At 44.3% G+C, this 24,002-nt stretch overlaps 2 long non-coding RNA genes across 2 annotated transcripts, besides 1 other annotated feature; both read left to right on the plus strand.

Annotated features, from left to right (window-relative positions):
* On the plus strand, window positions 1,335-19,027 carry LOC105376621 (uncharacterized). The gene is made up of 3 exons (XR_931176.3): window positions 1,335-1,424; window positions 13,998-14,224; window positions 18,122-19,027. It is a non-coding gene; the product is annotated as an uncharacterized LOC105376621 (long non-coding RNA).
* Window positions 1,408-1,577: an enhancer, noted in NCBI's record as "active region_4587". NCBI's record gives its function as "activates an Ori minimal core promoter by ATAC-STARR-seq in GM12878 lymphoblastoid cells {active_cell/tissue: GM12878}" and the evidence as "EXISTENCE:reporter gene assay evidence [ECO:0000049][PMID:35858748]".
* A 1,458-nt stretch (window positions 19,028-20,485) lies between the features above and the next one.
* LOC124902659 (uncharacterized) lies at window positions 20,486-21,512 on the plus strand. The gene is made up of 2 exons (XR_007062648.1): window positions 20,486-20,524; window positions 21,303-21,512. It is a non-coding gene; the product is annotated as an uncharacterized LOC124902659 (long non-coding RNA).
* The last annotated feature ends 2,490 nt before the right edge of the window (window positions 21,513-24,002 follow it).

Genomic DNA, 24,002 nt, shown 5'->3' on the forward strand with positions numbered 1-24,002 from the left:
TTGTTGAGTGGATTAAATTAAACAACACAAGGAAAGAGCTTTCCTAAGTTCCAATGCTATGTAACACACACAGTATTGTCTTACCCAGCAATAATTTCGGTGCACGGATCTGATCATCTCTTAATTAAATATTGAATTCTCCTAACACGGTTCTTTTTTTGAACCCCTCAGGGTCTGAACAGTTATAAGTGCACAGAAGTTGGGTCTTTATGAGCTGAATAAAAGGAGACTCCGGCTGTCTTCTCTTTTGTCCTTACCATAAAGCTCTTGTCAGCTGCTCTCCTGGCCCTGCCTCTGACCCTGGGCTTTGGGGCCACTATAGGCTCTCCTTTCCTTGTCCCCCTCTGAGTCCTGAAGTCCTGGTTTGCAATCTGCTGTTGCAGTTCTCTGGAATGGCTGCTTCCCCATGCGCCCCTGTCTGTCAGCTACCTCCCCCGCATGCATGTCTGTCTGCTGGGCAAGGCCCAATTCCGAGGTGACAGCTCACCGGGCCTCACCCACAAGTCTCTTCCAAGCATTAGCAGCCCACCCCAGTCCAAAGATATCTTTTATAGCTGATCTCTGGTGGCACCTCCTACCTTCCAATTAGGAGCCTGTCAACACCCAGGCCATCACTCTTCCTGCAGTGTCTGACAACACACACGCCTGCCGCGGCTGCGCCGGGAGAGTCAAGCAAAATTGTTTCCATGGTGGTGGTGGTGGCCTGAGCACAAGAGTTGAAATCTAGGTGAATCTGAATCTAGTTCTGCCTTCTCACTTTGCAAGGAGGTGTCTTATTTCTCTTTGAATTGGCAGCACCAAGCATCATGCCTGGCACACAGTAGGTACTCATAAATAAACACGTGTAAATCAAAAAGGCCGAAGATACATTGCTAGCTTGCAGACTCCCTTTCTCAATGTCTAATGATATCCAGTTCATTTCTTTCTCTTACATGTGCAAATCAGAAAGTTAGCTCATAACTCATCTGTTGTGACTTTTTCTTTCCTTTACTTTTGTGGTTGAAAATAAATTTACCCCAGAAAAGAGAGAGAGAAGGTGCCTGATTCCTTTGTCCTCCCTCTTCGATCCTCTCTAAATCCCTGGGTCATGGTAAGACTCTCTGAAATTCAGGGCCATTTTCAGACACTGGAGCCAATGAGGGAAGTATGACACAATCGAACATTTTTCTTATCTGGCAGTGTGGTCTGGTGGTTAGCATACGGGCTCTGCCAGTCGGAAGTCTGCCTTTCTATTTCTGGGGCTTAGGGGAAACCATGAAGCAACAGTCTTAGCAGCCCACTCACTCTTGCTTTCTCTTTCTCAATGTAAAATTGAGTTCACATTGGACCTGCTTACCCACAGCAGTCACCAGCTCAACCAGGGAAGGAAACGCACCACCCTGCTAGCCCTGCTTCAGCCTTGGGTGAGGCTGTGAAGGCTGGTGGTAAGCCGATGAAAGATAATCCAAAGAAATGAAAGTGAGGGTGATGAGTAGGAGAGCGGTTTGGGGCTGAGGGTACGAAGATGCCATGATGACTGACTTAACCACATCAAACTAAACCATGTCTCCTACTACAATTCACCAGCCTGAAATTGTGAGAGGATCTCGGGCGCGGAGATTTCGCTGGCTAAGGGGCACCCTGTGTGCCTACAAGAGGAGGTGGGAGGGAAGTTAACCTTGCGTTGTCCTCCAGGGCGCAAATCCAAAAGTGGGAAAAAGGGGAAGTTCTTTGATCTGAAGTAGAAAAAGTCGGGGAGAGAAGGAGAAACACCCAGAATGGCAACAAATTTGATGAAATCAGAGGGACAAAAAGAAGAGAAGGGTATTAAGATCAGATCTTCTGAAGGGCAGAGAACTATAATGACACAGTTGCTTTATTGCTGGACCCAGGACAGTTTATACAGCAGTTCGGAAAGGCCTCTTGAGGGGTTATCTGTGTCAGCCCAGCCTAGCATCGATAGAAACATGAATCTCTGGGAAATTATCTTGTGCCTCAGACTTCAAAGTACATAGAGATTTGAACAGCCTTGAAGTCGATAGGAAAACTTTCAGCATTTGATCAGTCGAATTATCCCACCATAACTCTGCAAGTTCTTGAGCCACATCTAGAAAGAACAAGGCAAGTTAGGGAAAAATCATCATTTAACATGTCATTTCTTTCCTCATTTCTACCCAAATGATCTTTAGGTCTCAATTCCTGCTCCTGTTGTCGTTTTTGCAACCAGGAAGCTGTGAGACCTTTGGGTTATCTTTAGAGTGAGACCCTCTAGAAGGTTTTAGGCCGAGCCTTGGGCTGGGTGATGAGATGGCATTGACTGTGGGCTGACTATTGCTTTGGAGTTGTGAGAATTTCCTCTCTGCAAAGGAGGTTCAAATACTATGTTTTCCCGGCTAATTGTTCATTATGCAGAGTGTCAGACTATGGTCAGAATATAGTGTTTTACAGGATCCCAGTGTTAATATCACAGAAAAGTCCAGCTGACATTATGTGATGTAGGGTGCTTTAAAAGAAAAAAAAAAAAAAACAGTTCCTCTGCAGGGGGCAACACTAAGAGAAGGATACTAGCTTTTTTTTTTGTTTTGTTTTGACAGAGTCTTGTTCCTGTCACCCAGGCTGGAGTGCAGCAGGGCGTGATCTCAGCTCGCTGCAACCTCAGCCTCCTGGGTTCAAGCAAGTCTACTGCCTCAGCCTCCCTCGTAGCTGGGATAACAGGCGCCTGCCTCCACGCCCGGCTAATTTTTGTATTTTTAGTAGAGACAGGGTTTATCCACATTGGCCAGGTGGGTCTCAAATTCCTGACCTCAAGTGATCCACCTGCCTCGGCCTCCCAAAGTGCTGGGATTACAGGCATGAGCCACCACGCCCCGCCAGGATACTAGCTTTGTGACATCAAAAATCTGGGTTTGAATTCCGTCTTGGCCCTTACTCAGGCAAGCCACTTACTCTCTCCTCCTCCACTTTTCATCTGCAGATGAGGATTACAAAACCCTCTTAAGGCTGTTGTGAGAATTTAATCAGATATACAATTAGTATAATCTCTGGCACATAGCAAGTTGTAATTTATTGCCCCTCTGTCCCAGAGTGCATGTGGAGACTTAATTTTTAAATATTAAAAACAAAGTTTTCACTGGGTTTCCAGTCTGTTGATGTTTATGGAGAGAAAGCTTTCAACTGACAAACGCTATCCAAGTGACAGAGCCCATTTCAGCATGGCGACTAAGGCTGATGATGTTCTGCTCTTAAGTGGAGATCAGCAAATGTTAAACAGGAGCCCCACCTGCTCTACCAGACAGCAGCAAAGTGCTTGTCTCATTTTCTTTCCAACATGTTACCATCCTTGTGTAACAGACAAGGTAATTTAAGCTGGGTCTAGACATGTCTGAACCAGTCTGGAGGGCCAATAGGACACCCTCCCTTCCAGACCTAATTACTTGCAGGATCAAGGAGCCTCTCAGAGAACAACATGTCCCATGGAGAAGCAAAGTTGAAGGGGCATTTGTTTTATTCAAGAACAACAGGAAATAGCAGAGGAAGAACAGCTCTCGGACCCCCAGTGGAGTCCTAGAGCAAGAGAGCTATAAGAGAGGGAGTGAAAATTGAATCAAAGGCTTTTCACTGAGATATCTGGGGAAGAGCAAGACACAAAGCTCTGGGGCCAGCTGCTTGGCTGTGAATAAAGATGATGGCACGGGTGGCTTCAGGGAATGGTGCCCTAAGGGCCAGTTTCGATGACCTTGGTTTAGGCAGCATCACTCACCTTTGAGGTCATTCACACTTACACATTCATTCATTCATTCATCTAACACATTTATTGAGTGGCTGTTATGTGCCAGGTGGGGCATCAATGCCTTTGGTGTGGAAATGAGTATCCTTGATACATGTGAATCCACAAGAAACATTCCTGGGGATTTGCTCCCAAAACTATTTGTAAAGGGGCAAGGAATGTGACAGATCTAGCGCCCCCATAGTGCAGGAGCCAGGGGAATCCACCAACTCCGGCCTGGTCACCACCTCTGCGACCCTGTTTTTATCTGAAGGCGTGTGTGGTCTGGGACCTGTGATGCTCATCTGTAAAATGAATTGGCTTGACTGCATGATCTCTAAGATCTGTATTTTATTGAAACTTCTACAGATTGAAACTCTAAGTCCTCATAATAAGCAATAATGAATCATGAACTAGACATTTTGAAAGCAGCATATATTACTTTGTGATCCAGCTTAACTGCTTGAATTATCAGTGTCTGAAATGATCCCCATCCCTCATTCCTCCCCTTTATCCTCTCTATGGTAGGATCAGGCACGACATTGCTTCAGCCCCTTCTACCATGTAGATTTACAGGCCCAGAAATGTTCGTTAATTTGGATTTCAAAGTGAATTCTTTCGTCTTTTAAATAAAGCCAAATATATATATTTTTTTAATTTTGTTTTCAAAACAGGGTCTTGCCCTGTCACCCAAGCTGGAGTGCAGTGGTGTGATCATAGCTCACCACAGACTACAACTCCTGGCTCAAGCAGTCCTCTGCCTCATCCTCCTTATTAGCTGAGACTACAGATGCAAGTCATCATGCCTGGCTAAGTTTTTTAAAAATCTTTTTTTTTCTTTTGTAGAGATGGGGCTTGCTTTATTGGCCAGGCTGGCAAAAATATTTTTTAAGTTGTGCATGAGCCAACACTGAGGACAAAAAATTAAAAATCAGCAGGCTGACTTTAACTAATGGCTACCAGTTCGCAACCTTTAATTTTAATAATTAGGTATGGGTTGATTCAGGAGAAATGGGATCTAGCCATATCTGGCTCCTACCTGGCTTGAGCGGATCATCAAACTTCTCTGAGACTCAAGTTTCCTCATCTTATGATGAGATTTTAGAATTCAATATTCCTTCCAACTCTTGACAGTCTGTGCCTGTGTTTTAGAGCAGTAATGTCATGTGTGTACTTGTTGGCTCGTGAATATGTCACCGCTTTTGCATTCAAGATTGGAAAGTATGTGCATGTCCTTTTTGCTGGGAGGTAGGAGGCTCCAAAAAAGTATCATGACTTTACCTTTCCTCTTTGTATTAGAAACAACTGAGAAATAGACCAGGAAGCCAAGTGAGAATTAAACTATAATATGTGCTCTCTTGCTGGCAAAGTGGAATAGTGACTGCCCTTTCAACCTGTGGTCAAAGTAGAGATCATTACCTCCTCCTCAAGTTTAGGCCAAAGGATCTGCCTGTGGGCAGAATTTGGGATGCAGAATAGAACTTTACACTGACAGCCATACTGAGGACCCGGCCTTCTCACACTGTGGGAGCATCACTAACAGTCAGTGCCCAGCACATCCCACCTGGGCCATGTTCCAGGTGTGCGTACCTGGCCCAGTGACTCCAGGAAGCAGGAGATGAAAAGAAACCTGACTCTACATGCAGACAGATCACTGAGCAACAAACTTCAGAGGAAGCAGGGCTACTGCTAGCCCACATGATGCCTCTGTAAGAATTAGAAAAAGCTGCCTCTTCCTCTGGGCAGACACTGCCACATCAGAGTGCGTGGCTTAGCAAGCAGGAAATAAATTATATTTCAGCCCCAAACTCATCTACCCTGCTGCATAATCACAGCAGCAGCTTGGGCGGGGCTCCCATTTTATGGGCTGAGGATGGGACTGCAAGATGAGGGCCTTGAGTCATTGTCATAAGTTCTGTGGCTATACTGTCCAGAATAGTAGCCACTAGCTGCATGTGGCTATTGAAATTTACATTCAAACTAATTAAAATTAAATAAAACTAAAAATTTCACAGCTCAGTCTTACTAGCTTCCTGTAAAGTCCTCAATAGGCCGGGCACGAAGGCTCACGCCTATAATCCCAACACTTTGGGACGCGGAGGCAGGCAGATCACTTGAGGTCAGGAGTTTGAGACGAGCCTGGCCAACATGTTGAAACCCCGCCTTTACTAAAAATACAAAAATTAGCTGGGCATGGTGGCGTGCGCCTGTAATCCCAGCTACTCAGGAGGCTGAGTCAGGAGAATCTCTTGAACCCGGAAGGCAGAGGTTGCAGTGAGCCGAGATTGCACCACTGCACTCCAGTCTGGGTGACAGAGTAAGACTCTGTCTCAAAAAATAAAAATAAATAAATAAATAAAGTGCTCAATAGCCACATGGGGCCAGTGGCTACCATATTGGACGGGCAGATGTAGAACATTTCCATCATCACTGAAAGTTCTCCCATTGTCCTATGGGACCACTTTCAGTTGTATTAGCCACTTCCGAGTCTTGACTAGCTTACCTTTCTCATCTCCTAGCCTGCCATCCCACATAACAGACTGCATTCTCTAGTCCTTCTCATGTGTTCCCAATATCCCGAGTGGAATCCAAACATCATACTTTTTGCTCCTGCTGTTCCCTCTTCCTGAAATGTCATTCCTCTGCCAAGAACAATCCATCCAATCAAATCCAGCTCGCTCTTCCAGGCCCAGATCAAATGACAACTCCCTAAGTTTCCTAGGTGGGCACTGTTATCTCTTGAGAGCACACTGTACATTTATCTGTCATAGTATGTTTAGCATTGATTCTAGTTGAGCGTTAGGCTGTCTTGTGGCCCCTGCTCACTGTGTGCCTTTGAGAGCTGGTACCTGTCTTATTCACCCCTGTGTCTCTAGGGCCAGTGTACAAAAGCCCCTCAAAGCTGCACCTCTGGGAGGAAAAGCCTCTTGAACCCTATCATTAAGACTTTGGGTCAGGTAAGTGTGTAATGATATTTTAATGCGATTAATAATTTTGATAATTTAATGTTTAATAATTCAGCAATATTTTTCATCACAATGCCTTCAGCACTCTCTCCCTGTTGTTTCTCTGAGCCCTTCTAGATGAGTACAATTTTCCCCAACTCACTGCTGAGAGAACAGAGGCGTAGGGATGGGCAGTCATCCAGGGTGACTCAGCTAGGAAATGGCAGAGTGACATTTGGACAGAGCTCTTCCTGACTCCAGAGCCCAGATGCTGGAATGCCTCTCATGTGAGGGAGTGGTCTATGGAAACGGCCTGGCAGACCCGCGTTTGTTTAATTGAGACAGAATGGAGGGTGAAGAGCTCGAATTAGGCAGAGGATTAGTTCGGGACAGCTGCCCCTGCTGCACATGGATAAACCCAGAAAAGGTCAAGGCGAAATTGAGGACGGGTCTCTGGGAGGCTTTCTCAGGCTTCATTCCTCTGGACAGGGTTAGGTGGGTCAAGTGACCTTGTTTGAACTCTCCTTTTCCTCTCCTACTCTCAGTCCGTCACTTCTTGCAAAATCAGATGTTGCAGAAAGGCAAGTTTGATTCTGTCTGGGAGAGGATTGTGTATTCCCAACTTTCCCTTATGCCTCGGCTTCAGATCAGATGCTCTGATCTCCTCTCTGTCCTTGGAGGCACCATTTCCACGGCAGGCCTAGGTGAGCTGGGAAGTTTTATGATGGCATTAAAAAAAAATTCCTTTCTGCAAGAGGCTTTTCACCTGAGTGTCAACTAACTCTGGACATCTTGTTACTGAAGCTCTTCTAGCCTGGGGAGAGACATTTTGTCTCAAAACTCATTAACGAGAGTGGGAAAACTGGGGGAAGGAAGCACAAGTTATCAGGTACAGCCTGTCCACCCATGGCTCCCTCCAACCCTGGTGTAGGTTTCTGAGGGGCAGCGCTGTGGGACAACTCCAGTAATTGCCAAAGCACAAGTCTCTGACCTCCCGCTAGAGTGGCCTCGGTTTTCTCTTTTTTTGGCCTTGTCTTCCTTCCTCTTCTAGTTTTCATGTTCTTGTTTCTCATTTTCTCTTACCTCTGTACATGCCTTAAATCTCCTAGTGAGTCCCCTGGGCATCGTGTGGCCCTACTGGGGGTATTCAGCTCAGAAAACATCTTCATACGGTTTTTGAACTCTAGCTCTCCACCTCTGTCCCCCTTCCCAACCCACAGTAAACATCTCTGTTTAATGTTTTGAGGTCCAGATTCTATGAGTATAAAGGGGTTGAATCATGAGCCAAGATATGCACTTGAGGAAGGAAACATCTGCATTTAAGGGGGCAGGTCAATTGCCTCCTGGCAGATCACCTTTCTCCCCGGCCCTGCCCTCCCCAGATTTGGGCACCTGCACTTGTTATTCGGACCTTAGCAACTGGATTCTGAGCCCTTGTGTTCCTGGTCTGAGTTCCTCCCTGTTGGTGACATTGGCTGAGCCCAATCTCTAGGTTAGGACAGCCTGACAACTCATTGCCAACTCCTGGTGATGGTTCTGTTTTGGTTTGGCATAGTCTACCTGGGACTGTTCCCCAACTCTGGGTAAGCCCTTTGTAACACCTGAGCCTCTCCCCCTAAAACTGAGCACTATCATGTAGAAGTTAGGAGCACAGCCCCTAGTGTCGGACCGGCTGTGTTTGAATCCTAGTTCTGTCCCTTGCCAGATGTGTAACCATGGACTCGTTATTTTAGCTTGCCATGCCTCTATTCTATTCTATTCTGTTACCTGTAAAAGGTAGGAATTATAATGCCCATTTCATGGTGGTGGTGTAAGGATTCACTGCGATAAGACCAAAGAGATGGGACCTTCTCTCTTGAGAACTTGACAGTTAGGTCCAAAGGAGTGTGAGTAAAACCCAAGTGCAATTTAGGCAGGTGACAATAACCACAGAGCCCAACCTGATGGAATAGGCAGGAAGTTGTATGGGGAATTGATGGCAACAGAGTCAGAAAACAGAGCGGTAAGTATTAATGCAGAGAAAAGTGAGATCCATAGGCAGAAATTCTATGTAAGGCCAGGCTCTTTGGCTCACACCAGTAATCCCAGCACTTTGGGAGGCCGAGGCGGGAGGATCAATGTAGGTCAGGAGTTCAAGACCAACCTGGCCAACATGGTGAAACCCCATCTCTACTAAAAATACAAAAATTAGCCAGGCTTGGTGGTGTGCGACTGTACTCCTAGCTACTCAGGAGGCTGAGGCAGGAGAATCACTTGAACCCAGGAGGCAGAGGTTGCAGTAAGCCAAGATCACACCATTGCACTCCAGCCTGGGAGACAGAGAAAGACTCTGTCTCAAAAAAATAATAATTAAAATTTAAAAAGAAGAAATTCTACCTAAGAGCCCGAAGCTGCCCTCTGCCCTCTCCCGTCTCCTGCAGGACATGGCGCCAGCTCCAGGTTAGGGTAATCTGGAAACTAGCCTTGAGTGAAGGGGCTGAAAGGGCTCAGGCAAGTGGGACAGGATTTATAGCCTGCTGCTGGAGTTCTGAATAAGGACTTGAGTCCCCCTTCCCAGGATTTAGAAGGGCCAGGGAGGTGGGTTAGCACCACCAGAGCAGGGAGGTGTAAAGGTGCAGCACAAAGCTACAATCTGAACATAGCACCCCCTCATCTCTTGGTACTTGGCATGGTTGGCTCCTTGGCACCCATCTCTCCCCCTTGATAGTCCCTTGGAAAGCCATTCCTTCCTTACTCTTAGTCCCTGTGTTCTTGGTGGAGTTCCCACATCCAACTTCCAGAGTAGGCCACGTGAGCATGCCTGGCTAATCAAAGCATGGTGCCTCCCAGGCCACTGGGATTGGTTCAGAGAAGGGTCACCTTGGGTAGCTGATGTTGCTGCAGCTATCTTGCCACCGTATGGAGCCAAGACTGAAAGATGAAATAGAGCAGGGCAAGGAAGAGAGGCCCAGGAAGACCAAGTCCTAATGACATCGTTGGAGCCTTCGAATCCAGCTGTGCCTAGAGCCAGCCCCTAACCCTGGAGTTTTCAGTTACATGGATCAATAAATTCTCTATTAGCTTAAATCACCTTGATTTGAGTTTTCTATCACTATTAACCAACAGCATCCTAATCAAAGGCTAAAGCAGCTGAAAATAGCCTATTTCCAGACCGCATGTGCTCATTAATAAAGAGCAAGTTCCTGTGGTACCATGAAGCCATGATACCATTGGCCTTGTGTCTGGATAAGGCTCAGGCTAAAGATGCCTGACATTACTATAAATACCTGGGCAGGGGTGAGTTGGCAGAGCAATGACCAGGGATACAGAAAACCAGGTTTTTCCTGATGCCTTATATCCTGCTTTAATATCTCCACCTGCCAATGAAGGAGTTCAATTGGTTGCCGCCATTTTAGAGAGCATAATGGTTATACTTTACCTTCAAAAAAATCTATTTTCTATCTATCTATCTATCTATCTATCTATCTATCTATCTATCTATCTATCTATCTTGCCATGGAAGAACCAAGGCAAAGAAAAGTGTAAAGATGATCCTACCAATTGTCCCAGAAGACAGCCCCTGGAACAATCATAAAAAGAATCCCAAACCCTTTGAACTTTTTTGTCTATGACAAATAGCAAAAGCATCCATTGCTGTTAAATATCTGTTACTACTACTCATTCCTTCCATCTTACAGATGTAAAAGTTGAAGAATTAGTTGCTGTCTTAGTTAAATTAGAATAGCTGCTTAAACAAGGGATCTCAAAATATATAATGACTCCACATCCTTGAAGTTCACTTCTTTTCCCCTAATAGTACTGGATTGGTGAACAGTTGGCAGGGCAGGCTTCTCCCGTGTAACTGTTTAAAGATCCAGGGAGAGGGAGGCTCTGCTGTCTTCAACGTGTGAGGTCCTCTCAATTCCAGCCAGTTGGATGGGGAAGGAGCATGAAGGAGCAGTGTGTGGGAAACCTTTATGGGCCAGACTTGAAAGTGATGAACGAAACTTCCAATCTCGTGCAATTGGATAGAATTCCGTCACGCAGCTGTAGCTAAATGCAAGAGAGTCGGAGCCAGCTGTGGTGGCTCACACCTGTAATCCCAGTGACCCTGGAGGCTGAGGAAGGAGGATGACTTGAGGCAGCAGTGAGCTATGATTGCACCACTGCACTCCAGCCTAGGCAACAGAGCAAGACCTCATCTATCAAAAAAAAAAAAAAAAAAAAAAAGGAACGGAGTCTGAGAAATATAGTTTATCTTTGTGCCCAGGAAGGAGAGGAAAATATGGATTTGGTGAGCAACTATTAGTCCCTGCTACACCATGCAGTGTTTCCTTTCTGAATTTGAATGGCACTTTGAGCCTGCAATTTCATTTTAGTCTGTTCTGTGCGTCTTTGCAATGCCCAATAGATTTGATAGTATAATCCCCACCCTACAGAAGTGAATTATTTCCTTCTTATATCTTTAGGTGGATACTCAATACATATTTATTAAATGGATAAGTCAATTCATAAGGTAAAAACAAATGGAGCCTGTTAAAATATGTTGTTTATTAGATCACTCTTTAGCCTTAGAAGACTTTCTTAGAATGTTTGTATGACTAGCCATCTTCTTTTACCATTTTTGTTTTATAAATACATAAATATCATAGAAAGGAAAATTTCAGGAAGTAGAAACATATACTGATGTTTTTTCCCACTAAACTCAGCTATTATCAAGTGCCTGTTAACTTTTGCATTCCTTTGTATGTTTAAAAAAAAACCCTACTCCCTTATCTCTTGGTGCCTCCAGAATGCAAAAATCCCTGAGCTCTCAACTTACGAATCTCCTATAAGGCTGCTGGAGCTTGGATGTTAAAAGTCCTCATGAGGGCTTTTCAATAGTATGGCTTCCTCTTGCAACATTGGCACCTCACTTTTCATTTAAAAACATTTGCTTATGTGCTTTTCAAAGTGCTTTTATAGCCAGGGTCTGATTCAGTCCTTACAAGTCTGTGAAGGTGGCATGAGGTCATCATCACCCCTAGGACCGAGAAGGGTTCACACATGAAAGTGAGCGCAGAGCTAGAACTAACACCTGGTCCCTCTGCCTGCCATGTAAACCATCTCCTGGAGGAGTGCTGTGTTAATGACCTCAGATCGGCTCCTTCCTCACCCCTTACTCCTGTTTTCTATTCCAGGTCGGAAAAAGGCAAAAAAAAACACAAAAGAGCAAGATCAAAGTATACCTCTTTACCTCTAACTAACACAGAGCCTCTATCCAACCCCAGAAGTGGTCCCCCACCAATACATGAGTCTTTTGTCCACTCAACTTTCTGCCTACCTTATTTATCAACAAGAAGTTTGCACAAGTTCTCTTTGTCAGCTAAGAGGCTTTCTACTATTACAGGCTGCCCCTTACGGGAAGTAGACCCTTTCCCTCCTAGCCTTTAGAATTGTGTTTTGAATATAGCAGACCAGAATTTTGATTAGATTTGTTTTTTCAATTATACGGTGGTTCCCTCACTTTTATAATCACCTAGAAGTCACTGTTGGCAACATGTCACTAGGGGCTTAAAGACAGAAACTGGGTTGATTTCCACATAATGATCCAAACAAAAAAGGCTGAGGAATGAATCCTGAACCACGAAGCCCACTGCAGTTTACGTAAGTGGTTTATGTTGAGACGCGGCCATAGCAAATTTCCCTGATTTCTGAGCATTTTCCTGTGGATTATTTCTAACCTGCACATTTTTTTCCATAGCCAGATTTGCCTTGACCCCAGGGGTGAACATTTAGAGAGCAATACTTCTCAGTCGCGGTTCCCATGATGCTATCAATTCCATTGTAGGGCCAATAATTAATTATAACAATAAGAAAGACATTATTCAACTAGGCCTCCCTTCCTGCCATTAAATCCACAAAACTCCCTGCCACCTGGGCAGTTGTTGATGTGTGTTTCTGTGTGTGTGTGTGCATGTGTGTGCACATGTGTACTTAAAATAACCGGATTAAAATTGTGTGTAAAATACACAAATGAAAAACTTTGAAAAAGAAAGCATCAAAATAACTAAAGTAGTTGTCTAAGAGTGGTGACGTTAGTGGAAGACGGGTCTGTTACTCTCTTTTTCTATAATAACTATTGTAGTGTTAGTACTTAAATAACTAAAATTCATACTATCAATTTTACATTAATTCAACATAAAAATTCTAAGTACTTTACTATTCCTCCAATGTTTATGATGTATCTACTACATGCCAGGCATTGTCTGGGTCCTAGGGATACAGGATGAATAAGACACAGTTCCTTCCCCCATAGGGCTTCTACTCAAATAAGGGAGACGAACATAAACAAGTAATTAGATTGGTTTATTAATTAATATGTGATATGGTTTGGATCTGTGTCCCCACCCAAATCTCATGTCAAATTATAATCCCCAATGCTGGAGGTAGGGCCTGGTGGGAGGTGATTGGATCATGGGGGTGGTTTCTCATGGCTTAACACCGTCTACCTTGGTGCTATCGTGGCGATAGTGAGTTCTTGTGAGAACTCCACCCTCTCTTGCTCCTGCTCTGGCCACGTAAGACAAGCCTGCTTCCCCTTCGCCTTCCACTATGATTGTAAGTTTCCTGAGGCCTCTCCAGAAGCCAAGCAGAGGCCAGCATCATGCTTCCTGTACAGCCTGTGGAACTGTGGGCCAATTTAAGCCTCTTTTCTTTATAAATTACCCAGTCTCCAGGATTTCTTTATAACAATGTGAGGACAGACTAATACCAAGCATACAACAAATATTTTTGGAGCACATACTATGGTCCTGAATACGTTTATATGCTTTGGATCAGCAGCAAATGAGGCAAGCAAAGACCCTTGCCTTCATGGAGCTTGTGGTCTAATGGATATAGATCATCATTTGTTTCTAATCATAATGACTGTAGTGAAGAGAAAGTGCTAGCGGGGGACCTGACCTAGCCTAAAAAGCCTGGGAAGACCTCCCCAAGGAAGCAACATGATTTTAAGTGCTTCAAGTAAAATAGGGCTTTGTTTTGCCATCCAGGACAGAGGGGGCTGCCCTGGATGTGGCAGGAGTTAATTCTGGTGGACACTGAAGTCTGTCTCTCAGTTCCATCTGCCGCAGAGTGTAGCCTGGTGCAAGAGCTGCCCTAGGCAACGTGTGGCCTCTGGGCCTTGGGCTGACCGTGTGTAAGGGGATTTGGAACCAAGTTTCCATTAGTAGTCCCTGTCCATTTTTGCTCCCATGCACTGTTTCTGGTAAGTCCTGATATAGAAACCAGCAAGGCCATCCTTCCCTTGCAGCACAGACAGTAACTAATGGGCCTTTCTTCTGCAGACGGGAAAACTGGAGCAGAGAAGACAAATCCAGCCTGAGCCAAGAGGCCTCTGCATCGCTGGTCAGGAAAAAGCAACTGCTAGATTTCTGGTTTGCCCCTCAGACCGTGGAGCTCCGGGTCACCAGCCTGAACCGCTTAATGCACATCACGCCTGGGTTTAGTTGGAAATGGCTGAAGGCACTTAAATGGAACTCCCAACCTTTGTCCTCAGCTTCCGAAACCACAGGTAAGTATTGAGGTCTGTGTTGTATCGATCATGCCTCCCACCGGCATCAGGAAAAATGCTGTGAAGCAAGTCAACTTTCTAGTGACAAGGGAAGTCATTCTCCTAATCCACTCTCACTGGACAATCAGGTTGACAAAAACCATTAAGTTTTCCGAGATTAGAAATTCACTGTCAGAGGGAGCCGTGTATAGAGTTTTCCACTCCATTACACCCAGGACAATAACCAGAGGCCAAGTGACAGAAAAAGCCTGGGGCTTTTTTAAAGTTTCCTGTGTCCTTGAGTAGAGAAAAATAAATTCACAAAGTGTCTCCTTTTTGTAGGATGTGGGTTTGTATATCCTCTCATTGATCAATGCAACAACCTATGAGGAGAGGTCTGTTTATTGCATTTGACAGAAGAAGAAGCCGAGGTTCTGCAGGAATAGGTTTGCTATCTAAGATCACCCAGCTAGTTAGTGTCGGATGGGGCTGAGAATCAGAGTCAGAAAACTGGAGGGGTCTAGAGACTAAATGACCTGCTTTCTTCTAGGCAGAATAGCACTTTAGCCATCCTTGAACCCACTTTCCCCGGAAAGACCCCACGGTTCTGTAGCAAGTGGTAGCGGGCTGGGACAGGGGTTAAGATCACAGGCTGTGGTGCCTGACGGATTCACATCCACGCCCCAACTCTGCCTCCCACCGTGTGCCTTGAGGCAAGTTCTTTCCCCTCTCTAAGCTTCCTTCTCCTCCTCTTATTCGTAAGAAGATAATAACCTAAAACACTACCCCATAAGGGTTCTGAGGATTAAATGAGATCACACTTGTAAAGCATTTAGCATATTGACCGGCGCATGGCAAGTACTTTGAAAAACAGAAGCCAGTCAGCAATAGGAAGTGGTTTCTTACTTATGTCTTTACTATAAACTTACATAAACACAGAACTGAAAGTTTGGAAAACCGAAGAAAAGAAAAAATCACCTATATTCGTAACAACTGTTACCATTACAATATATTCCTTCCGGTACTTTTTTCCAATGAATCTATTTTTTCCCACATATATAATTTTTTTCTGTAGCATTGCACTCCATTCTTTTTCACTTAAAATTGTATTAAAATCATTGATTCATATTGCTGTAATTTTTCTTTTCATAACTGTACTGTATCTTATCATCCGAACATAACCATAATTTTCTTATCCATTCCTCTATTGCCTGACATTTGTTTTCAATGTCCCTTATTATAAATAATGCTGGCTCAAGCCTGTAATCCCAGCACTTTGGGAGGCTGAGGCAGATGGATCACCTGAGGTCAGGAGTTTGAGACCAGCCTGGCCAACATGGTGAAACCCTATCTGTACTAAAAATACAAAATTAGCTGGGCACGGTGGCACGTGCCTGTAATCCTAGCTACTCGGGAGGCTGAGGCAGGAGAATCACTTGAATCTGGGAGGTGGAGGTTGCAGTGAGCCAAGATCATGCCATTGCACTCCAGCCTGGGCAACAAGAGCATAACTCCATCTCAAAATAAATAAATAAATAAATAAATAACATTAATAATAATAATAAAATAAAAATAAATAAAGTGCTGGGATTACAGGCATAAGCCACCACACCCGGTCTAAAATCTGACAAAACCAAGTGTTGGTAAGAACATGAAGCAATAGGAACTTTCATTCACTGCCAATGGGAATGCAGAGTGGCACAGCCACTTTGAAGAACTGATGTTATCTACTAAAACCGTTAGAAATGCCTATCCTATTATACAGTAATCCCAACTCAAAAGCATATATTCTAAATCAAGCATTAGAAAACTTTTTCTGTAAAAGATTAAAAAGTCAATATTTTAGGCTTTGCAGGCTATGTGGTCTCTGTTGCAACTACTCAGCTCTGCTGAGCAGGAAAGTGGCCACAGACAATGCAGAAAGAAACTGGCGTGGCTGTGTGCACTAGAACTTTATTTATGGACACCAAAATTTGAGATTTTTTAAATTTTTATTGTTATTTTGAGACAGGGTCTCACTCTGTCATCCAGGCTGGGGTGCAGTGGCGCAAGCACGGCTCACTGTAGCCTTGACCTCCTGGCCTCAAGTGATCCTCCCACCTCAGCCTCCTGAGTAGCTGGCACTACAGGCACACACCACCACACCCAGCTACTTTTTAAAAACATCTTTTTGTAGAGATGGGTGTCTTATTATGTTGCCCAGGCTAGTTTTGAACTCTTGGACTAAAGTGATCCTCCCCTCTCAGCCTCCCAAAGTGCTGGGATTACAGGTGTGAACCACTGTGCCCAGCCCTGAATTTTATATAATTAATTTCATATAATGTACCTTCTTTGGATTTTTCCAACCATTAAAAAATGTAAAAATCATGTTTAGTGCATGGACTGTACAAAAGAGGTAGTGGGCCCATTCTGGGTTATGGGAGGTAGTTTGCCAACCCCTGCTCTGTAACGTTACTCAAGGCGTGGTCCAGGGTTCAGTAGCTCAGTAACAATTTGTTGGAAATGAAAACTTAGGGGCCCCACCCTAGACTTACTCAATCAGGATTACTAGGGAAAAAAAAAAAAATAGGAATCTCTATCTTTGCAAGCTCACCAGCTATTTTTATGCACACTGAAGTTTGAGAATTACAGATGTGGTTCTCAAACACACATATGTGCAAAAGCCTGTATGTACAACAATGTTCCTAGCAGCATTATTTGTGATAAACCCGGACTGAAAACAACCCAAATGTCCAGGAACAGTAAAATGTCTAAAAGCAGTAAAATAGGTAAACCAAATAATATTCAGTAATGAAAATACACAAAGTAGGCTTTATGCTCATATTATGCAATATGGATAAACCTTTTAAAGAATGTTGAGCACAAAGGAAAATCCATCAGGAGGCTGAGGCAGGAGGATCACTTGAGGCCAGAAGTCCAAGTCCAGCCTAGGGCAACACAGCAAGACCCTATCTCTACAAAAAAAATTTAAAAATAGCCAGATGTGGTGGCACACACCTGGAGTCCCAGCTCCTCAGGAGACTGAGGTAGGAAGATCACTTGAGCCCAGGATTTCAAGGTTGCAGGGAGCTATGGTCACACTACTGCACTCCAGCCTGGGCAATAGAGCAAGACCCTGTCTCTTAAAAAAATCAATAAATCAATAAACAAATACATCCAGACACAAAAGAATATGAACTCTATGATTCTGTACAACAATATAAAGTTCAAAAATAGACACTATTGTTTTGGAGTGAGCACTTAAATGGCAAAACGGTCAAATGAGGCAAGGAAGTTATACTTAAAATCAGGATTGTGATCTTTGGGAGGAAAAGGGGTGTTGTGTTTAAATGGGCACATAGGACGCTTCTAGTGAGCTGACAATGTCCTATTTCTTGACCCGGGTGATTATAGCATCTGTATTCACTTTATGATAATTTGTTAAAGTGTACATTTATGTTTTATGCACTTTTCTCTATGTGTGATTTTTTCACAATAAAAAATTAAAAGGAAAAATAACTGCGAGTAGTGGCAACTTTCTGAGCTAGCCCTGTGTATAGAACCTGCCAGATCCACTTCACACCTTGACTTCCTGCTTGGCCAATTCCCTGTAGCCCACCCAACTGCAAGTTGCAAATTTATAGGCCAACTGAGCCCAGATGGTTTCCTGCGATAGCTGCTAGGGGCATAATAATGAATACATGTCTCCCAGCACGTTCCCGAATGCATTTTGGCAGGATTTTTCCTGCAGGCAGTAAAACCTTGTTACAAAGTCTCTCTCTGTCTCAGGGGCTTGGCCACATTGCAATTGAGCCACACTGCCTCCTGTTCCAGGCAGCCATCATCCTTGCTCCACATAGCATCCTTGAGAGCTGGCTTTTTCTCCATTGTCCTGTGAAGCTGGTTGATTGATTGTTACTAATAATCATTGCATTTCAGAAACTCGGATTCCTGTCCTCACAGCTGGAACTTTCTCTTCACACTAATTAGAAAACCATCCTCTGGGAAATGCGGCATCTTTATTGAGTCAATCTTTGGTGATGACTAAGTCAACTGGCAAGATGAAGTTTACATCAGGGAGATGAAGGCACTAAAACCCTTCCAGTACACTGGTCCCAGGCCTGAAGCCAATAAGCCAGGCTGACCTGACAGATATCCAGACCCCCACATCTAGAGAAACTAAGGGTTGCATTACAGAAGGACTAGCTAGAGGTTGGGGTCAACCCAGGGGTCAAAGAGCCATGCCAGCTATGATCCCCCAGTTTTCTTCCCCTTCTTCCTAATTTACAGTAGCTCTGGGTATTAGCTGCATAATTAAGACCACATTTCCCAGACTCCCTTGCAGTTAATACAGTCATGTGACTAAATCCTCATTAATAAGAATGCAAGCAGAAGTGGTATCTGGAACTTCTAGGAAAGGTCCATGTCCTTCTCCTTTCCCTTCTGTGTTGCTTGGAAGCTTTAGCTTCCATACCAATGAATAGCAAAGCATCATACAAGTTCTGGACTAATTTTCTGCCTTTTTTTTTTTTTCAAGACAGGGTCTCACTCTGTCACCAAGGTCTGAGTGCAGTGGCGCGATCTCAGCTCACTGCAGCTTCAACTTCCCAGCTTCAAGCAATCCTCCAACCTCAGCCTCCCAAGGAGCTGGGACTACAGGCGTGCACCACCATGCCCAAATAATTTTTTTTTGTAGAGACAAGGTCTCACTATGTTGCCCAGGCTGGACGCAAGCAATCCTCCTGCCTCAGCCTCCCAAAGGGCTGGGATTATATGCATGAACCATGGCACCTGGCCTTAATTTCCTGGCTTTTGTTAAAAAAAAAGAAAAGAAAAGAAAAGAAACTTCTATCTTGTCTAAGCCACTGCTTTGGAGGAGTTTCTGTCACTTGTATTTGAACCCAGTCTTAATTGGTACAACAGCTTTTGTCAATGGTAAAGAAGTGGAAACAACCTTAGTGGCCCACAAGAAAGGACTGGCTAAATTCGTTCACTCATTTACTTACTCATTTATCGCATTTTTAATGAGTGCCCACCACATGCTCGGCTTTGATCTAGGCTCTGAGCTATGGGGGATATAGTGGTAAAAAGGTATTGTCTCTACCCTGAAGAACTTTGTTAGAAGAGGAGGCAGAAGGCATAAGTAAATGCGCAATACAATGATGTGTAATTAGCGGAACCACAGAGGCTAAGTAGTTAAAAAAACATTTTAAAACAGGATAGGAAAAATGGTGACGCATTGCTAAAAAGGGGATAATTAAAGATCATGCACAGTGAGTTCAATTTGTAAAACAGCATATATATTTGCATGGAGAAAAAACTAAACTGATATATGCTTTTTCTGAACACCTTGAACAGCAGTGGTATTTAGTAGGTAAACAATAAATGATTAATGAATGAAAGAATCTATTTCAAGATCAAGGGATTATTTTTTCTAGGTATTTTTCTGTACTTTCCAAATGCCGCCCAATAAGTATGTATTACTTTTGTAATAAGGAAAAAATATCAACATTAGGAAACTGTGAATTAGGGAGTTAAGGATCAAGATGACGTGTAGAGCAGCGATTTTTGTTAGAATGCAAACTAAGCTGTGCTAGACTTAGTCTCAAAAAGAAATGTAAGTCTGAGGTCTGAGTTTGGCCTCTCCCTAACGGGCGGAGACTGTGGCTCTCCACCCCATGCACGGTCCGGAAGCAGGCAAGCAAGTTTGCCCTGGGCTTTGTTCTACATTTTAGTGGGGCAGGGCCCACTGCAGCCAAGTTATTAAGCACTAGGTCTCTCACTTCTCTTCCCCTGGCTCCTCTCTGCTGGGCCTCCTGCCCTACCATCAAGGCAGCTGTTGTTGTTTTGTAGAGGCTAATTAACTCCACACTGCATGAAGCCAGACGCTAATTGGCCCACTCACTTAATCAACCTTAATGTCTCTCTTCTGGTGGACACGGCTGCTGCTTTTTGTTCCCCTGATCATCAACAAACGTGGTTCCAGGCGAATGGCAGCAACAGCCTCTGGTGGTAACAGCCCTCAGCCTGTCACCTACCACGGGAAATACTGAGGCTCATTTTGACACCTCAGCTCAGTGGACAGGCCCTCAAGTTCATGATCACCGAAGCATCTTGAAACCTGAGCTTATTGCTGCTCTTCCAAACATTGCATGATGATATGAGTCATCAGATGGTTGGTTACTCAAGAGAATTGGCCTCATCTCTGTCTGTTGCTGACACATAGTTAAGACTATAACATCTAACTTATACAGCTACCTTTTGCTGAGTGTTTTTTTTTTTTCTGTAGCACTGTGTCGGGGCCTTTCCAATGGAACATGAACACAACATTGCACAGAGTAGGTAAGCAATACAGATTTTTAACCGAATGAGGAAGAAACACCATTCTTATCCCATTTGTCAGATGAGGACACTGAGGCAACAATAATGTTTACATCTGTAATTGAAATGATGTACATATTCCTATAAGATTAGGACCAAGAAGTATTCTAATCCCCCCAACCTTTTTTTTTTTTTTTTTTGAGAAATGGAAGCTTTCCAAAAGAAAAATGACTTTCCTAAGGACAGAAGAGTATGACAAACAGAATAGTGCTACCCTTCCCAAAGATGTTTACCTGTGGCTGGGTGCGGTGGCTCACGCCTGTAATCCCAGCACTTTGGGAGGCCAAGGCGGGTGGATCACGAGGTCAGGAGATCGAGACCATCCTGGCTAACACGGTGAAACCCTGTCTCTACTAAAAAATTCAAAAAAATTAGCTGGGCGAGGTGGCAGGCACCTGTAGTCCCAGCTACTCGGGAGGCTGAGGCAGAAGAATTGTGTGAACCCGGGAGGCGGAGCTTGCAGTGAGCCGAGATCGTGCCACTGCACTCCAGCCTGGGCGACAGAGCAAGACTCCGTCTCAAAAAAAAAAAAAAAAAGTTTACCTGCTAATCCCCAGAAGCTATACATTTGTTACCTTAGATGCAAAACAACCTTGGTGGTGTGATTAAATTAAGATCTGGAGATGGGAAGTTTCTCCTGGAGCATTTAGTTGGGTCCAATGTAATCACAAGGGTCCCTATAAGAGGGAGACGGAAGTCTATGAGTAGAGAAAGCTGTAAGAACAGAAGCATATGTCAGATAGGAGAGAAGAAGCTGCTGGCTTTAAAGATGGAAGAATGGGCCACAAGCCAAGGAATGCAAGAAGCCTCTGGAAAATGCAAGCTGGAAAACAGAAGGAGATAGATTTTCCCCTGAAGTCTTCAGAAGAAATGCAGTGCTGCCAACACCTTAATTTTAGACTTCTGACCTCCAGAACTATAAGAGAATAAAACTTAACGTTTTAAGCCACTAAGTTTACGGTAATTTGTTACAACAGCCATGGCAAATGAATACTGATTTTGTTACTGCAGCAATACAAAACTGATACACACTGCAAGTGGAAGATTTAAAGGGCTTGACATTTAGGCATTAGGATGTGAAAACCCTTTTTCACTGAATTGATGAGATTTTTCCATACCTAATCAGTGTATGGTGATTTTGAATTCTAGCTTCCCATAAAGATGAAGATAACTGGGCAGGTGGAACTGTTGGCCTGCCTTCTCACTGCCAACATTTCCTCTGTCTCCTTCCTAGTCTATTCTACACTTCCTGCCCTTTTACTTCCTCTTCTTCCTCAAGCACCTAAAGCCCAACCTTGCCAGGCACAGTGGCTCACATCTGTTATCCTAGCACTTTGGGAGGCCAATATGGGTGGATCACCTGAGCCCAGGAGTTCAAGACCAGCCTAGGCAACTTGGCAAAACCCTGTCTCTACAAAAAATATAAAAAATAAGCCAGGTGGGGTGGCAAATACCTGTCAAGTCCCAGCCACTCAGGAGGCTCAGGTGGGAGGATCACCTGAACCTGGGGAAGTCAAGGTTACAGTAAGCTGTGATTGCGCCACTGCACTCCAGCCTGGGCAACAGGAATGAGACCCTGTCTCAATAAATAAATAAATAAATCCAGCCTCACAATATAGCTCATCTGGGGGAAACCATGTTTCTGTGTCAATCTGAAGGTCAGCTTTAACCAGGGCAGAAAGAGTCACAGAACTTGTGGGAGGTTGGTGTTTGGGAGACGGTAGACAGAACATTTAAACTCTTGTGTTTGAATTCTACCTACCCTGCCTGCTTCCAGCGTGCCTCCATTTCATCCTCCATCTGAAAGCTTGTTGTAAGGATGCAATGAAATAACCCATGTTGGGCCGGGTGCGGTGACTCTCGCCTGTAATCCCAGCACTTTGGGAGGCTGAGGCGGGCAGATCACCTGAGGTCTGGAATTTGAGACCAGCCTGGCCAACATGGTGAAACCCCTGTCTCTACCAAAAATACAAAAAATTAGCTGGGCGTCATGGTGGGCGCTTGTAATCCTAGCCACCTGGGAGGCTGAGGCAGGAGAATCACTTGAACGTGGGAAGTGGAGGTTGCAGTGAGCCGAGATCATGCCACTGCACTCCAGCCTGGGCAACAGAGTAAGACTCTGTCACCAAAAAAAAAAAAAAAAGAAAGAAAGAAAGAACCCATGTCATGCTTAGCATAATACCTGGCAATGATAAATGCTCAACAGATGTTTGTGATAATGACACTGACTCAAGCTGAGCTCCTGGTTCTCAGGAGCCTGGGTTTACTCCTCAGAGGCTTAAGATCTAGAGCAGTGGTTCTCAAACTATAGCATGCACCAGGTTCCTCTGGAAGGGACTGAGCCTCTCTTCCAGAGTTTGATTCAGTAGGTCTGGGGTGGGGCCTGAACATCCGCCCCAGGCAATGGGGATTCAGCGGCACCAGGGACTACACTTTGAGAACCACTGATTTAGAGCTGAGACTCAACGATGGTGCCTTCATTATTGTTCCCCAGCGCCCAGCACAGTGTCTGACATATAATAGGCATTCAACAAATATTTGTGGAATGAATACATTTTTTTCCACTGTCTCCCTGAGGCTTTAAATGTCTGGGAAGCTGCCCTTCTCCATAAAAGAATCCCATTCTCTATCTTTTTTATCGCCATCATATTTACCACAACTTGGTGCTGACAATCTCCTCTTCATAGACTCCCTGTTTTCCCCTTGAATACCCTCCATTTCCACAGTGAGTGTCTCTCCCCTGGATCTCAACCTTTTCCATTAACTCCATGCACTGCACAGCCTGTTCCGGGACATCAAACTTTAATTTAAACAGAAAATGATCAATAAGCTTAGCAAATTGCCCATGGCAACCTATGCTGAGTGAATCAAAGAGTTTTATAGGTAATTTAAAGGGTGTCTTCACTCATCCCTCAAGGTAAAGCTTAGCACATTGACAAGAGCCCTTTTCCGCCCTGGCTCAGGAAGCTCTGGAAGGAAATGGAAGAGAAAGGACTTAGGTCCTGGGGTTGGAGGAGGCTGGGCCAGGAAGGAAAGATCTGTCTTTTAGGATTAAAAGCTTCTAAGAAAAAAACACTGACATTAGATATCGAACCCTGTGTGAGTTGGGGGGTTTTGGATTGCAGAAAACAGAAATAGACTCTGGATAACTTTAGAAAATAAAAATAATTCCACTCTATAGGGTGTAATTGAAGAAAAAAGCAAATAGCTGGGTCTTATATTAGCAACCAGGGCTGCTTTCTCATAGGTGCTGTTTAGGGATGTATCTGCGCTGCTTTCTCTGTGTCTTTTGATTCAAGATTCGTATTCCAAGTAAACATCTGAGCAGCCTCACTGGGTTCCAGTCATGGCCTTCCCTTGGCCCGAGGGGAAAGGTGCCTGATGGAAAGTCTCACCAAGAATGTAAGTGGGAAGAGAAGAACAGCAAGGTGAGGAGTTA

This window comes from Homo sapiens, chromosome 11, assembly GCF_000001405.40.
Source record: "Homo sapiens chromosome 11, GRCh38.p14 Primary Assembly".
NCBI classification, from domain to species: Eukaryota; Metazoa; Chordata; class Mammalia; order Primates; family Hominidae; genus Homo; species Homo sapiens.